The sequence below is a fragment of the Homo sapiens genome, chromosome 1 (genome assembly GCF_000001405.40).
Source record: "Homo sapiens chromosome 1, GRCh38.p14 Primary Assembly".
Classification (NCBI taxonomy): Eukaryota; Metazoa; Chordata; class Mammalia; order Primates; family Hominidae; genus Homo; species Homo sapiens.
Window position 1 is genome coordinate 247,287,923 of NC_000001.11, and position 16,679 is coordinate 247,304,601.

General features: G+C 50.4%; 1 protein-coding gene across 1 annotated transcript in view, besides 3 other annotated features; it reads right to left on the reverse strand.

Moving 5' to 3' along the window:
- Positions 2,625 to 3,143: an enhancer, noted in NCBI's record as "H3K27ac-H3K4me1 hESC enhancer chr1:247453849-247454367 (GRCh37/hg19 assembly coordinates)". NCBI's record gives its function as "activates a minimal SCP1, AML or CMV promoter by ChIP-STARR-seq in naive H9 embryonic stem cells {active_cell/tissue: H9 hESC(naive)}" and the evidence as "EXISTENCE:reporter gene assay evidence [ECO:0000049][PMID:30033119]".
- ZNF496 (zinc finger protein 496) overlaps positions 9,493 to 16,679 on the reverse strand; it is a 34,453-nt gene continuing 27,266 nt past the window's right edge. Inside the window, exon 10 of the mRNA NM_032752.3 lies at positions 9,493 to 13,354. Coding sequence (NP_116141.1) covers positions 12,597 to 13,354 — 758 coding nt within the window. The 3' untranslated portion in view covers positions 9,493 to 12,596. The remainder of the gene's footprint in view (positions 13,355 to 16,679) is intronic.
- Positions 11,001 to 11,900: an enhancer, noted in NCBI's record as "H3K27ac-H3K4me1 hESC enhancer chr1:247462225-247463124 (GRCh37/hg19 assembly coordinates)". NCBI's record gives its function as "activates a minimal SCP1, AML or CMV promoter by ChIP-STARR-seq in naive H9 embryonic stem cells {active_cell/tissue: H9 hESC(naive)}" and the evidence as "EXISTENCE:reporter gene assay evidence [ECO:0000049][PMID:30033119]".
- Positions 11,901 to 12,799: an enhancer, noted in NCBI's record as "H3K27ac-H3K4me1 hESC enhancer chr1:247463125-247464023 (GRCh37/hg19 assembly coordinates)". NCBI's record gives its function as "activates a minimal SCP1, AML or CMV promoter by ChIP-STARR-seq in primed H9 embryonic stem cells {active_cell/tissue: H9 hESC(primed)}" and the evidence as "EXISTENCE:reporter gene assay evidence [ECO:0000049][PMID:30033119]".

The following is a 16,679-nucleotide window of genomic DNA, read 5'->3' on the forward strand; positions in this document are numbered from 1 at the left end:
CCAGAAGACTGAGACCGTATCTGGACCCTAACTCAGGCACATGCTGATACAATTCATCACCAGGCTCCTGCGCAGCCTACTGGTGCAGAGGCAGTCCCCAAACAGGACCCCCTCTAGAATTATCAAGACGGGGCTTCTGGACGCCGCCATCGAGACCACATGATTGTGTGTCTCCTTGCAGGACTCAAAAAGGGTGCCCATAAAGCAGTCAACTATGAAAAACTTTCAGAAATCACCCAAGGTCCCGACGAAAACCCAGCCCTTTTTCTCTGTCGTTTAACTGAAGCCATGAGAAAGTATACCAACCTAGACCCAGCCAGCCCAGAAGGAACCACTATTTTAAACCTTCGATTCATCTCCCAATCCACCCCGATACCTGGCACAAGCTTCATAAGGTTGACAACGGCCCTCAAACCCCACAACTAGACTTTCTTAATTTAGCCTTCAAAGTCTTTAACAGTCATGATAAGGAAAGTAAAAGGCAAAAACAGGGAGAGTTTCAAATGCTTGCCTTTGCCATCAGGGGCCCTGCAGGCTCACGGGGCTGTGGCTCCACACGGAAGCCTCCTGGTAATCCACCTCCACCTGGCACCTGTTTCAAGTGTGGCAATGTAGGCCACTGGTCCAGACAATGCCCAAACCCGGCTAAGCCCACCAGGCTGTGCCCCCTCTGCAGAAAACCCCACTGGAAGTTGGACTGTAAGCGGCCCCTGTAAGGACCGCCCCCATCCCTTCCTGAGCCAGCCAAAAACCTCCTACTCTCATTGGCCTTGCTGCTGAAGACTGACGGTGCCCTGGAATGGATGCCCCAGCAACTACCATCGCTTCATCCGAGCCAAGGGTAACCCTGATGGTGGCAGGTAGGCCAGTATGTTTTTTAATTAATACCGGGCAACCTACTCTGCTTTACCTAATTTTTCAGGACCGACCCAGTCCTCCCAAGTCTCTGTTGTGGGAATTGATGGACAAGTCTCCAAACCCTGAGCCACCCTCCGCTCTTCTGCTCCCTTCACGCCTTTTCCCTCACTCACTCTTAGTCCTGCCCTCATGCCCAACTCCGCTTCTAGGCAGAGACATCCTTTCAAAACTCTACACTACTCTCCACTTCCACATTCCCCATGGCAGCCAACGCATCTGCCCAGACCCCTCCGGTACTTCTAGCTTTCTTCTACTCGTCCAACTTCCCACCCTAAAACATGCAACCTTTCCTTTTCCCCCATCCGTAGTTAACCCGGCTGTCTGGGATACTTCCACACCCTCAGTCGCAAAACACCACAGCCCCGTCCGCATTACCCTTAAAGAGCCCGCCCAGTTCCTGTCACAGAAGCAGTATCCCATCCCCCAAGCAGCTCTTACAGGCCTAAAGCCTATCGTTTCTCTCCTTCTCGTCAGTCACCTACTCTGCCCAACAGACTCCCCTTTTAACATATAGATTCTACCTGTTAAAAAACCAGATGGAACTTATCGCTTAGTCCAGGCCCTCAGGCTCATTAACCAAGCTGTACTCCCAGTATGCCCAGTATCTCCTCACCCATACACTTTACTTTCCACAATTCCCTCCAACACCACCCATTTTTCTGTTCTAAACCTAAAGGATGCTTTTTTCACAATTCCTTTACACCCTGATTCCCAAAACCTCTTTGCCTTTACGTGGGAAAACCCCGACACCCTTGGAGTCCCTGCGTATGATAACCAGAGAAAAACAGTCCTTAAAGGCAGGAGGAAGCCAAAGACCGTGAGAGGACGAGTGGCCTCCGCAACGGATCATCGAATATTACGGTCCTGCCACCTGGGCTGAGGATGGTTCACGGGGTTATCGCACTCCCACATATATGCTAAACAGAATAATTAGACTACAGGCTGCTCTAGAGATAATCACTAACCAAACCGCCCCAGCGCTGGAAATGCTCGCGTGACAACAAAACCAAACGCACCCAGCAATTTATCAAAACAGGCTGGCTCTAGACTACTTATTAGCAGAAGAGGGTGCGGTCTGTGGTAAGTTTAACATCTCCAATTGCTGTCTTAACATAGACGGTAACGGAAAAGCGGTTCTAGAAATCGCTTCAAACATCAGAAAAGTAGCCCGTGTACCAGTCCAAACCTGGAAGGGATGGGACCCAACAAACCTTCTAGGAGGGTGGTTCTCTAATTTAGGGGGATTTAAAACGCTGGTAGGGACAGTAATCTTCCTCATTGGGGTCCTCCTGTTTCTCCCCTGTGGTATCCCACTGATAATAAAAGCCATTAAAACTCTTGTTGAAACTACAGTTAACCGCCAGACAATCCAGACGATGCTCCTGCTACAACGACACGATGGATACCAAGCCGTCTCTCAAGAATACGCCAAAATTTTTTCTTTTTTTCCGAGGTGCCCACGCCACCCCCTATGTCACACCTGAAGTAGTTATGGAGAAAGTCGCCCCTTTTCCCTTTTTCTATAACCAAATAGACAGGAATGAAAGATTCTCCCCGGGGCCGAAAGCTTGGGGGGATGAATAACTCCTCCCTCCTCAGACCCAGTCGCAAGGCGCAAGGCCGCTTGCACCAGCAGCGCGCGTCAGCGAGAAGCAGAAGCAGGAAGAGGGCCGGCCGGAAGACACGCACCCCGGCCGGAAGACACCTACCCCGGCCGGAAGACACGCACCCCGGCCGGAAGACACCTACCCCGGCCGGAAGACACGCACCCCGGCCGGAAGACACGCACCTGAGGATGGAGAGAGGCCGTCTGGCTACTACGTGGCAGTCACGTCAGACTGGGACACTTCCTGTTTGCAGAGAACTATAAAATCCCTGCCCTGTCCTCACTTGGTGCTGACACCATTTTAGGCCTCAGCCCGCCGGCACCCAGGTGCTCATTAAAACAGCATGTTGCTCCACACCGCCTTGTGTTGTCCGTTGGCGCGCTCTTGGGGTTTGAACCAATACAAAAACCTTTCAATGCCTTTAATTACCGTTAGTATATAGCAGCTCCACGCACTATGAAATGCCCAGAGTCTGGACAGGCTGCCGGAATTGAAATCTTGGATCTGCTGCGTGTCCCTCAGCAACTTCTATCACTGTATGGCCCATCTGTAAAATGGGCATGATGATTGTGCCTCCTTTGCAGGGTGATCATGAAGATTCAGTGAGCTGCTATGTGCCAAGCTCTTCCAAGAGGGCCTGGCGTTTCAGCAGGTGCCATGGGAGGTAAATGGTGAATAACGCAAGTCTCTTCTTCCCAGTCATAGGAAGGCTCCTGAGTCTTGTTCTGCTGGCCTGATCATCATCTACCACAGGGAGGGCAGGTTGAGGTACAGATAAAATCTTGAAGAAAAAGCGTCCCTCGCCACTCCCAGCCCTCACCCCTCCATCACCCCAGCTCAGGTTAAGGGCTTGCAGGCACAGCTGCACCTCTGCCCAGGCAGCCCCAGGGCGGTGCCCTGGAGCCACTTCTACAGACTCCTAGGAAATTGCTCAGAGCCACGCAGCAGTGTTGAGACTGGAATCCGGGCAGGGCCCACCGCTTCGTCTCCCTAGAGAGCACTTGCAGACCTCTCTGGAAAACAGGCAGATTGGAGATTGGAGTTGGGAGAACTGAATACCCCCAAGTTAGTGGCGCACAAATGATGTTTCCATGACTTATGCCGGAAAGTCAATACAGTTACCAAGACAACTATGGACTAGGACGCACCACCATACTCAGACCTGGACCCTGCCTGAGCCTCTGCTGCAGCACGGTTGGATTAAACCCATCCCAAAAGTGATGCTTTGGGATTGCAAAAATAGCTGCCCCTCTGAGGAGACAGGAGGGAGCTGTGAGGGTCACAGGACAGCAGAGCCACGGTGTCCTGGATTTTCCTAAGCCCCTTTCCGATGGGGCTGGTGGCTGCGGTGGCTCTGACTGGGCAAAGGAGAGGGCATGGGTGGCGAGTGGCTCCTAGGCATTTCCAGGCAAGGGAAGCCCTCCTCTCCCAAAGGCCCTTCTCCCCGACCCCATTTCAAAACAGACCAGGGTCTTCCTTTCAAAACCTTTGTTTTCTTCTCTGGGTGTGTCTTCACTTCACTGTTACTGTCAGGCCTGAGGCTCAGCAGACGTCCTATCTTCAGCCACGCCCTAAGACTGAGCACAGCCTGGGGAAAGACCACCCTCTAGAGCAGCGCTCCAGGCTCCACCTGGAGCTGAGGGAGAGGCGCCCAGGCCGGGGAGGGAAACTGCCCGGCTTCAGCCATGCCTCTGTCATAAACTTCTTCCCATCCAGCCATAAGATGCAGAAAAGTAATTTGCTTCTTCTTGCTTCTTAAAACCCAGCTCAGAAAAATTTCACCCACCTCCATCCTGCCAAAAACAATGACAAAACCACTCACTCATTCAGTATTCTCAGACTGTCCCATCCGCTCAGAAACGCGACTGCATCTATGAGGCTTACTCCTCCTCCAGCTTGAAGCCACTGTGAGGACTGTGGTGAGCAGCGTGGCTTCACCGCCGCCCTGCTGAGGCAGTCTGAGGGCAAGGCACTTACAGTCCCTGCCTCCGCGTCCTCACCTGCCTTGGCGACCACGGGATCAGCCCCAGAACTGAATGAGGTTGCAGGAAACTTGGTTCAGCCCAAACTCTGTAACCTTAGATAAAACATTTAACTAAGTTGTCCCCCCTGGCCAAAGGAGGGCTCTGGACAACTTACTGTGTCTCTTTCAGCTTTAACACTCTAGATTCTTTTTTGTTGTTTTTTGTTTTTAGACAGGGTCTTACTGTCACACAGGCTGGAGTGCAGTGGCATGATCAAGCTTCACTGCAGCCTCGACCTCCCAGGCTCAGGTGAACCGCCTGCCTAAGCCTCCTGAGGAGCTGGGACCACAGGTGCACACCACCACACCTGGTTAATTTTTGTATTTTGTTGTGGAGACAGGTTTTTGCCATGTTGCCCAGGCTGGTCTCAAATTCCTGTGCTCAAGCAATTAGCCTGCCTGAGCCTCCCAAAGTGCTGGGATTACAGGCATGAGCCACCACACCCAGTACCACTCTAGATTCTTGACTAAATGTGAGTAGCTGAGTTTCAAAATGCATTTTAAAACTTATTTCTTTCCTCCTTTCTTTCCAGTCTCAAGATACAACCTTGAAACAGACTGCAAAAACCTTTTTTTCCTTAGTCTTAAAATACAGCCTTGAGATGTACTTTGAAACTGCAGTCCCTTCCCTTTTCCACTGCACACTTCCTTACCCCAAGCACCTTTATCTAACCATATGCTTGTTAGGAAATTCCAGGGCTTGATTAGAAACACAGCAGGCATGCAGGTCCAGCTGTGAAATGCTCCCCCACTTACAGACTGCCTGAAGATGGAGCATCTACAGCCCGACTGTAACCAGCAGAAAAAGGCCCTGGCTGGTCGCTGCTTGTGGAAGGAAGTCAGAATAACATGTTGGCCAAGCGTCGTGGCTCACGCCTGTAATCTCAGCACTTTGGGAGGCTGAGGCAGGCGGGTCCCCTGAGGTTAGGAGTTCAAGACTAGCCTGGCCAACATGGCGAAACCCCATTTCTACTAAAAAATACAAAAATTAGCTGGGCATGGTGACACATGCCTGTAATCCCAGCTACCAGGGAGGCTGAGGTATGAGAATTGCTTGAACCCAGGAGTTGGAGGCTATAGTGAGCCCAGATCATGCCACTGCACTCCAGCCTGGGGCACAGGGCAAGACTCTGTCTCAAAAATAAATAATAAATAAATAAATAAATAAATAAATAAGTAAATAATGAAGTTATTACAGCCTGAGACTAGACGGTTCAAGGAGGAAAGGAGAAAGGAAAAAAAAAGTTTTAAAACATGGTTTGAGGCTTAGCTGCCAAGCTGCTCAGTTACATGGCCATTGCCACTGTGAAGATGGTGCCAGCCTGCACTCCAGGTGGACCATAACTCAAGACAGGCATCAGAGCAAGACACAGCCCCTGCACCTGCACAACTCCAGCATGCCTTTCACATCAGGCTTCCCTTTTTTCAGCCCCTGCCCTCAGCCCAAACTTTGGAAATGGCTTCTTTAAGGCCTTGGCATTTCCCATCTGCTAGCATTTCATTAGTAAAGCTGCTTTCCTTTGACCACACCTTGCTTCTTGTGAGCAGCTGAACTTGAGTTGGTTACATGAAGATAACTATTTCCTGAGGGAGAATCACTTTACTGTAGAAACCAGAACCTGGAGGGCAGCTTTAGTTTCCTGGAGTGGTAGAACACTATTGATTACCTAACTGGTTTTGAGATTTAAATCTTCCCTTAAAAGAACTGTAGTGGTTTGAATGGGGCCTCCATGAAGATCTTTTCCTGGGACCTGTGAATGTGACCGTATTTGGAAAGAGTGTTTGCAGGATATCTAGTTGATGCCAGAGAAAGAGTGTCTGCGGGATACCTAGTTGATACCACAGGCTGGTGTCTGAGCAGTGGCAGCTCTCCCCAGCACCTGAACATACTGGTTTCCAAGCACCTGCTTGGATGGGAGTTATGTTTCTTTTGGGAGGGCAGAAGTGATGGGGTGCAGCTCTATCCAACACATACCAAGCTCTCATTTTGCAGGAGCATGTTGTCTTAGACCGCAAGCTGGATGATGTAAGCAGACACAGACAGAGGTCTCTGCCCTTGGTGAGTAACCGTGGAGAAAGTGGTGAGAAAGGAATGTATTGGATATCATCTGTCCTCTTCTTCTCAACTATAATGCAAGTCTGTACTGACCATCTTCGAGCCCCAACACTGCACACCTGGCCATTATTTAATCTAACTGGGATCCACTCGTCCAGTGCAATAAGGACAAACACCCGTCCTGAGGTTTGTGGCAGGAGAAAGGAAGGTGTTTATTTGCAGGATGCCAAGCAAGGAGAATAAGGCAGCTCACACTTAATATCTGACCTCCACAGCGGCTTGCAAGAAAGGGTTTTTAAAGGCAGGGCGGCTGGTGCAAAGGTAATGAGTTATCACGATTGTTCAGTGAGTTACACATCAAACACCTTGTTCTGCTCTTCCCCTGACTCTCACTACTGCATCTGACTAGTCATTAAAAAAAGAAAAAAAAAAGAAAAGAAAAAGAAAAGAAAGGAGAAGAGAAAAATAAAGGCAGGGGTAAATTTTAGGAAAGCAGAAATTACAAGCAAAATTATAAATCAATACATTGAAATTACTCATCGGTTTAGCCTCAAAAGGACAGGATACCTTGAAGCGGAGGCTTACAGGTCATAGGTAGAATTCACAGATTTTCTGATTTGCAGTAGGTTATAGAAGAGAAGCTTTGTTTAAAATTTGGGGTCAGCAGAAAAGAATGTTAGGTCTGGCTCTTGGGAACGACTTCCTCCAGTCCCAGGAGGAAATTTAAGACAATATCAGTTAGAGTTTAGTCCTTAGGCCCCCTTATCTGAGGTTTATGCGCCAGTGAATCCTTGCCCAGCAAGGAGCATGCCTTTGATACGCAAACTAACCCATTCGGACCCATACCTCCAGTATCTGACATGACACCCCAGGAGGCAACATTCCTCTGTCTTACGCATCCCAGAGCCTGGTGCCAGGCAATTAGTAACCATCCCTGTAACCCAAAGCCCACAGAAATTATTCAAACTAACCAATCCTAAACTGTTCACCTTGCCCTGCTTTGACTCTCTCAAAGGAAACCCCAATAAAGACGGTGGCCCAAACCTTCTCCTTGCTCCTGTCTTCTGCTTCCTGCCACCTGGTGTCTTTCCCATGAGGCCCTGCCTGGCCTGCTGTGCCTCCTGTCTCTAGGACCTGTGAGTAGAATAAACTTCGTCTTTTCCTGAGACTCTCCTCTGTCTTCTCTTGTGGCTATGCCTGACTGATCATCACGTAAAAAGGTAGAAAATAGCAAGTATCCAACCTCTTCGTATTTTGACAAGGTGTAGCAAGACTAATATAATGGGGCAGGACAGACACAACCATAGTATTTTTTTTTTTAAAGCAGGTGATGGAGAAAGGGTGGTTCTCCTGCCATTTGGTTGTGTGATTAGAAGACAGCCCTTTGTCACACAGTTGTCGGCCTGCCTGTGATATTCCCGGCTATGGCCAAGATGTGTGAGGTAAGCCCCGGGTTCCTCCCACTTCCGTGTATTCCTGAGGACTCTGCTTTCCCACACTGAGTTTTGCATCTTCTCACAGGGAATTTCTATGGCTTCTCTGTACTTTGCTAATTATATGCACATTAATCATGGTGACCTGGTTACAGGCTATGGTTTCAAGAGAAGATAAAGTTCCCAATTGGTATCTGATGGGCAAAACAGGTACAGATGGACCCCCTGGGCTTTGCCCCTGTTGAGCTCATGATCACTACTAACCACCCCCCAGATGCTGGGCCACTGGCACTCTATCAGCTGCCCTATACATGGGTCTGGGCTGCTAGAGGTACCTGGTCTTCCAGTGGTCCCTTCAACAGTCCCTTTCCTGTGGCCAGTCTGCCCTAAGCAAGTTTTCTAACCTCTAGCCTTGTTGCATGGACTAGTAGTGGGCACTGACCGTCACTTTCAAGACCAAACAGTATCAGTGTTTGTTGCTAATACTAAGTGTGTCTGGAGGCTGGGTGTGGTGGCTCAGACTTATAATCCCAGCACTTTGGGAGGCCATGGTGGGAGAAGCTCAGGAGTCTGAGACCAGCATGGGCAAAATAGTGAGAGCCCGTCTTTAGGGGGGTGAAAAAAAAGTGGGCTTATTTGATGGAATTGCTGAAGTGCTATAATCATCGCTGAATCGTCTACGTAACTCTGCAAGCAGAATTACTTCTATCTGATCCAAACTCTGCTTTTGGCAGAGGAAGGGAAACCATCTCACAGGAGAAGAGTGACTTGGACAAGATCTCCACAGGCTTCAAAGCTGGCCTTCTCTTTCCTTTGTGCCACAGTATGATTTAGGACTGATAGGGACCCTCCCACCAATGGCCTCATCTTTTTTTATTTGTTTCTTCTTCTAGCTGAGGCAAGAGTTGGGGAGATAGAGAAAAGAGAAAAACGACTAAGGTTGGCTTAAAGCTGTGGTGTGACCAGGAGTACAATCTACTCCCAGCGTATGAAACAGTTATTTCTTCTTCTTTCTTTTGGGGAGGGGCCAGATCAGGTGACCAGAACTATCTAAAGCCTGCAGGTCTTAGAAAACATGTTTTGGCTGTGCTTCACATTTTACTTTTTGTTTTTTGAGATGAAGTCTTGCTCTGTCACCCAGGCTGGAGTGCAGTGGCGCTCCACCGTTCATAGCAACCTCCACCGTTCACAGCAACCTCTGTCTCCTGGGTTCAAGGGATCTTCCCCCACCTCAGCCCCCAAAATAGCTACAGGCATGTGCCACCATGGCAGGCTAATTGTTCTATTTTTTTCTTAGAGATGGGGTCTCACTATATTGCTCAGGCTGGTCTCAAACTCCTGACCTCAAGCAATCCTTCTGCCTCGGCCTCCCAAAGTGCTGGGATTACAGGAATGAGCTGCCACGCCCAGCCACATTTTACTTTTTAAATGAAAATGAAAAGCCTAACAGGAATATTGACTCAGCAAGTTTTTATTATGCACCTGTGGGTTTGTGACGATGCCAAGGGATCAGAGGAACAAAGAGAGAGGATGTTGCTCAGATGGGGGTCTCAACCTCCAGAGCAAGGTGGACACAAAGCTCCAGCCAGCTGCCCAGCCCCTGGGGTGGGAGGGAAGGATCGAGGGGTAGCTGTTGTCAGATAAGGCCAAAGGTATCAGTGGCCAAAAGGGAGACAAAGATCTCCTGGGTGCAGCCTCCTCCACCACTGTGGTGAAGGGTGTTGGGCTGGAGGGTTGGCCGACCTCTCCTGAGAGCACGTTCCCCCTGCTGCTCCTGCTGCATGGCATCAACCTGGGTTTCAGTTACATTACCCAGGAGGATTTCCAAATCCAGAGGCAATGTGGCCTTCCATTTCCTGAGGTGCCTTGGTTGGCTCTGGATCAGTGGTGGGGACTCAAGAGACAGCCTCCCTGTGGCTTCCAGCCCCTCACATTCCCTTTGTCGCTTTCTCCTTCATGATGTGGTTTTACACAGAAAAACACTCTGGTAAGTAGAACAGTGTTCTTCTCTTGAGTCAGACGTCTGAAGCAGGAAGGTGAATAACCTTCCCAAGACCTTAGAGCTACAGAGAGAATCCTCAGCACAGGTAGGAGCACACAGGTAGGTGGGGTAAACGTGTACAGAGAGCCTGGCTTCTACTTGGAATTTTCCCCTCCCTTGGCCTTAAAAATCGGATTTCTCCCTTTTCCAGCTATGTTGATACAAGAGACAAACTATTTAGAAAGTAAAAGCCTCAACCGTTTATTTTGTGTTCAAAGTATAACCAAATGATTTTATTGCATTTACTGCTCCTGGGCATGCAGATGCATCTACACAGAAACAGCAGTTGTGGTTATAAAATCTTTTAACGAGTTTGGGGCAGAGGCTTTTTAATTATTTTTGAGACAGAGTCTCATTCTGTCACCTAGCTTGTGCAGTGGCATGATCTCGGCTTACTGCAACTTCTGCCTCCCAGACTCAAGCAATCCTCCCACCTCAGCCTCCAGAGTAGCTGGGACCGCAAACGTCAACACCACACCCAGCTAATTTTTTGCATTTTTGGTACAGACGGGGTTTTGCCATGTGGCCCAGGCTGGTGTCACTGAGCTAGGCAATCCACCCACCTTGGTTTCCCAAAGTGCTAGGATTACAGGTGTGAGCCACTGCACCCAGCCCAGAGTTTTCCTGATGTGAAAATTACGTGAGTGACAAGGAGCACCAGGAGCCTTGCCTGACTTACTGTCTGTTGGTAGGATGTGACATATGAATAATACAAAATACCCGTCTGGTTTGACTTGCAGATTAAATCACTGCTAGACTACAGCCTTGATGCCCTCTCTTGCTGACCCTAGCCAACATAACCAGTCTTCCAGGAACAATACCATGTTTTAAATTGCTTGAGGTTTCACTACCTGCTGTCACTCTCAGTCCGGAATCCCAGCAGGAGACACAGCTCCAGCTGGCCTGCCCAGCCCCCATCAGAAGGCAGGGAGGAAGGGGAATTTGTCAGCGTTTACGGCTATTGAGTATGATTCTTCCATGCAGAGGACACCTGCCCTAAATGCTGAAACTTGGGTCTGAACCCTGCCTTTGATGGAATTGTGAGCAAGCTCACTCAAGTTTGTATTGACTCATCTGTAAATTAGGAATGATATAGCATACCTCACGTTTATCTGGAGTCATGGGCTGAATGCTGTCCCTTTCAAATTCCGATGTTGAAGTCCCAACCTCTAGTACCTCAGAATGTGACCTTATTGGTAAACGGTTGCTGCGGATACAGATGAGGTTATACTGGAGTCGGTGGGATGGGCTCTAATCCGATATGACTGGTGTCCTTAAACAAAGGGAGGTTTGGAGACAGACACGCACACAGCAAGAGTGCCATGTGGAGATGAAGGCAGAGACTGGGTGACGCTTCCACACACCAAGGAATGGCAACTGCCAGCAAAGGCATGAAGCCGCTTCTCCCTCACAGCTCTCGGAAGGCACCAACTCTGAGGACACCCTGATCTTGGACGTGCACCTCCCAGAACTGTCAGGGAATACACTCCTGTTGTTCTAAGCCAGCCAGTGTTTGGACACACCAGCACTCCAAGCTAATGTATCTATCAAGTGTGTTGTCAGGCAAGGTTCTGTTCTGGAGCTTGGCTCACCCAGACAGGAGAACCCCTCACTGGGGGCAGAGCTCCACATTCCTAGACAGGACAGATTGGAAGAAGGGACTTAAGTGCCTTTTAAACGATGACAACTCCGCTTCCAACCCACAAGCATTTACCAAGGATCTTTGGGGTATAAAGACATTATGGGGTAGGTGTGCAACACAAATTAAAATGTAAGCTTTGTTTTTGGTGAGCTCCAGATCCCTAGTGATTGGCCCCCAGGAAAATCAACAGGTATGACGACTGTTTCCAAACCTCAAGAAGGAGCTCTGCAGACCCCTGCCACAGAGGCCAGCCCAAAAGGGCTGCCTGATCATCTTGGATCTGCGGGGTGCTCCTGCCTACCTGATGGCCACGAATCTGGGGCTCAGACATGACATGTCTGGCTCAGTGTGCCTGGCCCTGCTCCCCACTGAGCCCATCAGTCCCACCCTGCCTTCTTCTTTCCTCTAGTCCAACATCCGCCAGCAGCTTCTCAGTGGAAGTGCAGGCATCCTGGAGCTTCAGGAGCAGATCCTAGCGTTCAGACAGGGAAGGAGGGGAGGGAGTATACTGAGGTTTGGCTGGTGACCAGGGTGCCGCCCTGACGGGGGATAGCCCAGTTTTACTCCCCGAGCTTGGGGAGCATGGGCCAAGGGTCTCTAAGACGCAGAACACCTGGCATGTCCAACCTGGTGATGGCACATCCCCCCCGTTTTTTGGCACAGCAGAAACAGAACACTCACTTGGCCACTCTTTCATTACCTGGGGGAGGGAGAGTGCTCCCATGGCACCACCCGAACGCTCACTACCTGAGAGCAAGGACAGGAGGGAGGTGTGCTCTCTATCCTGGGGAAGGTATGTCCTGGGTGGGGGCGCTGATCAGTACCAAGGTGAGGGGGCAGCACCAGCCAGGGTGAGGCCGCCCCAGGCGGAGAGGCTCAGTAGGAGTTCAGAGCCTGCTTGGAACGGCGCTTCATGTGCAGGCGCTCGTGGCGGAGGAGGTCATAGTTCTGCGTGAAGCTCTTGACGCAGTACCGGCACTGGAAGGGCCGGGCTTTGTCCTTCAGGTGAAAGTGGCTGCGGTGCCGAGCCAGGTGGTCGTGCCGCTGGAAGGCCTTCCCACACTCACAGCACTGGAAGCTCAGTTTGGCCTTGCCGTTTTCCAGCGGCTCTTTGGGACCCTTGTCCGCGTCCTCGGATGCCGCCTGCTCTCTCTTCTCCACCGGCTGGAGTCTGTCCGGCTGCAGGTGTATCCGCCGGTGGGAGAGCAGGTGGGAGTTCAGGCGGAAGCTCTTCCCGCAGGCACCACACCGGTAAGGCTTCTGGGCCTCGTGGCTCTCTAGGTGCCCATCCAGGTCCTCGCTGTCGCTGAACAGCTCCCCGCACACCGAGCACTCGTGCGGCTTCTCCTGCTCCCTGCGGCTCCGCAGATGCCGGATGAAGTTGACCCTCCAGCGGAAGATTTTCCCACAGTTCGGACACACGTAGGACTTCTTGGAGGTCTGCACCTCGCCTCCGGCCTCGGTGCTGCTCCGGTGGGAGGCGGGGAGGCTGCGCTGCTTCTCTGTGGGGCTCCCCAGCTCTTCTGTGCAGTACGGGCCATGCTGGGAGTCCTCGTCCCCAGAGCTGGAGAGAACGATCTCGATGGTCACTTCTTCATCCAGGCTGTTCTCTAGAGATCGCGGGTTGCCGCCAGCTACAGGAAGGCAACATGCAGGTCAGCGACGCTGCACAGGCCACATCCCAGCCCCTATGACCGCGGCGGAGGAACACTCAGCTTGGAGTTTACAAACCCGTGTTTTTACAATGGTCCTCGGTGACCGGGGCGGCCTGGCCAGCCCTGCAGGGGCCACTGGTGTAGCCTGTGAGGAAGAAATCTTCAGCATGGGCCCCGCTGTGTCCAGAGCATGCTGGGCACCTTGCTCTCCCTCTTCCCAGCCATTTTCCCTTATCTCCACCCCCAACCCTTTTGTTCTCTACCCACGGAGACCACCCCATCCCCCCAAGCTCTAGGAGTCTGTATTTATCTGGGTAAAGCCTTGACCATTTACAGATCATGCACTTAACAAGGCATGGGGGAAAGCTCTATCAGGATAGTGAAAGGACTTGAGAGAGGAAGACTCTACAACCTACACATATCATGTGCTGGGCACTTGCATGCTCCAGGGACTGTGCTAGACTTGACATGCACATTCCTATTTGCTCCTGGACGCAACCCGATGACCTATTGGTTGCCATGTTTACACATAAACTAAGGTGATCTGTGCCAGGAAGGAGGGCTGAAATGCTACTCAGCCTTGCTAGGCTGCTCAACAGTCCCAGACTGCCCAGAGTCCTGGGTCCCCCACAGCTCCCCGGCTCCCAGTAGCACCGCATTTCTGAGGCCACAGGTGGTGATGGATAAAGCTGCTCTGGACTTCCTGCATCCTGAGTCTGTGATGTTGGGAAGGTGGAACCACGGGGCGGGGCTGGGTGGACAGTGCAGAGCCCGGCCTGAGGTCCCGGCTTATGGAGCAGAGCCCACCATACAGGTGGCCTGTTTCCTCACTGCTGTGAAATGTAGAACTCAAATCTAGAACTTGGGGGGAGTGAACCAGGCCCTCCCAGATAAGAGTAGGAACATGGTTAGTCTGGGCTTCATGACTGTGGGGAGGAGAGCCCTGGCTAGTCAGAGCAGCTCAGGACAGGAGAAGTTGGACAAACAGAAGCAGGGCAGGAAGACACAGAGGCTATGGAGAGCAGAGAGATAAAGGGCAATGGTGGAAGCGGAGGGGGCATTTGTCCCTCAGTCACAAGGGGGTCGGGGGAACATGAGTCTGGGAGTGGGTACTGAGTCTGCCAAGAACCCACGTAGTATAGGAGGGAAATCATCAGATGAAGACAGAGATTGTGTTTGTGTGTGTGCATGTGTTTTTAATTTTTTGTACAGATGGGGTCACATTATGTTGCCCAGGCTGGTCTCAAACTCCTGGGCTCAAGCGAGCCACCCATCTCAGGTGATCCACCTGCCTCAGCCTCCCAAAGTGCTGGGATTACAGGTGTGAGCCACTGCGCCCGCCGAGAGGCTATGTTTGACGCTTATCTCGACTCTTGGTTTTCGAGCTGCAGGAACCTCGTTCCAGCCAGACAGCTTCTCTGAGCTTGGGTCATCTCGTCTACAAGGTGAGAATGACAGTGGCAGCCCGTTGCTCTAAGCTGCTGGTGGGGCAGGTGAGGTCATGTGTATGATGTACTTTGTGGACCTCATGGGGTGGAGACAAGAGCAAGGTGTAACTTTTACCAGGCTGCCGATGACAAGGTACTTGATCAGCAGTTGACTTCTGTTAATGGACTTGGGTGGAAGAAGAAAACAAAGTGACAAGGTGGACCGCTAAGATCTCTTACTTGTTAACTGGGCGAGGAGATGGAATTATGAGAGCAGACAGTGCATGTTATGGGCGAAATTGTGTCCCCCTGAAAATTTACATGATGAAGCCCTAACCCATAGAGCCTCAGAATGTGATTACTTGGAGATAGGGTCTTTCAAGAAGTAATTAAGTCAAAATGAAGTCAGATGGTGGGGCCAATCCAAAATCACTGGTCTTCTAAGAGGAGGAGACTGGAGGCAGACTTCAACAGAGGGAAGGACCCTGTGAGGACACAGCAAGATGGGAGCCGTCTCCAAGACGAGAAAGGCCTTGGAAGACACCAGCTCTGCTGAAGCCTTGATTCTGGACTTGTTGCTTCTGGAATTGTAAGAAAGTAAGTTTCTGTTGTTTAAGTCACCCAGCCTGTGGTACCTTGTTATGGTAGCCACAGTAGACTAACATAGACTTTGGCACCAGGAAGTAGGGTGCAGCTAAAACAAAGACCAAAAACTGTCGAAGTGATTTTAGAACTAGGTCATGGGGAGAGGCCAGGAGAGTTCTGAAGTGCATGTTTAAAAAGCCTTGAGGAAGTGGCTGGTAGAAATACGGACGTTATAGGAAATTGGAGAAAAGGAGATCCTCCAATTATAAAGTGGCAAAGAATTTGGCCAAACCATATTCAACTGTTCTGTGGAAACAGAAATTGTAAGTAAGGAACTCGGATACTGAGCTGAGGAGGTATCGAAGCAAAGTGTCAAAGGCAAAGACTAGTTTTTTGCCGCTTATAGTGAAACGTGAGATGAGAGAGATAAACTGAAGAAGGAATTGTTGTAGCAAAAAGGAACCATGACTTCAAGATTTGGAAAATTCTGTCTATCCATACGGCAAAAAATAAGAAAGCGTGCACTGGAGAGACACCAAGAGTGTGGCTGGCTCATCATTTGTTAAAGAGATTCTGGGTATGATTCACGGATCCAATCAACCATCTCAACAGAAGCCAGGAACAGAGATGAGGTTATCCAGGAAGGTCTATGGAGGACACCCTCGTCTGACGGCCTGCAACCCTGTGGACTGCATGGAGGGCAGGGTTTCTGAGTATTATATACCAGCAGAAACACTGCCAGCTGGAACTGAAAGGAAAAGAGATGGGATGAAATAAAAGAAGGCTAGGACTTCTGGGATTCTACAAACTGGCCGATAGATCTATCTGGCTATGAATATGTACTATCCTTCAAGAAAAGGGAAGAATGACTCCAAAGGTGGCTCAGAGGTTACAGGACTGCCACTGTCATCATGGGACCAGAGAGTACAGGCTCAGGAGGTGAAGTCATTTCCTTCTGAGTTCCAAAGAGCAGGGCCAGTAGCCTGCTGGGCCTGGAGAACAGAGAACTGAGCCAGAGGTTATTGCTGAGCCTTAAAATCCCATGGAAATGACCTGCTAGATTTTTTTTTTTTTTTTTTGAGATGGGGTTTCGCTCTTGCTGCCCAGGCTGGAGTGCAATGGCATGATCTTGGCTCACTGCAACCTCTGCCTCCTGGGTTCAAGCAATTCTCCTGCCTCAGCCTCCTGAGTAGCTGGGATTACAGGTGTGTGCCACCACGTCTGGCTAATTTTTGTATTTTTAGTAGAGAGAGGGTTTCCCCATTTTTGCCAGTGCAGTCTCGAACTACTGA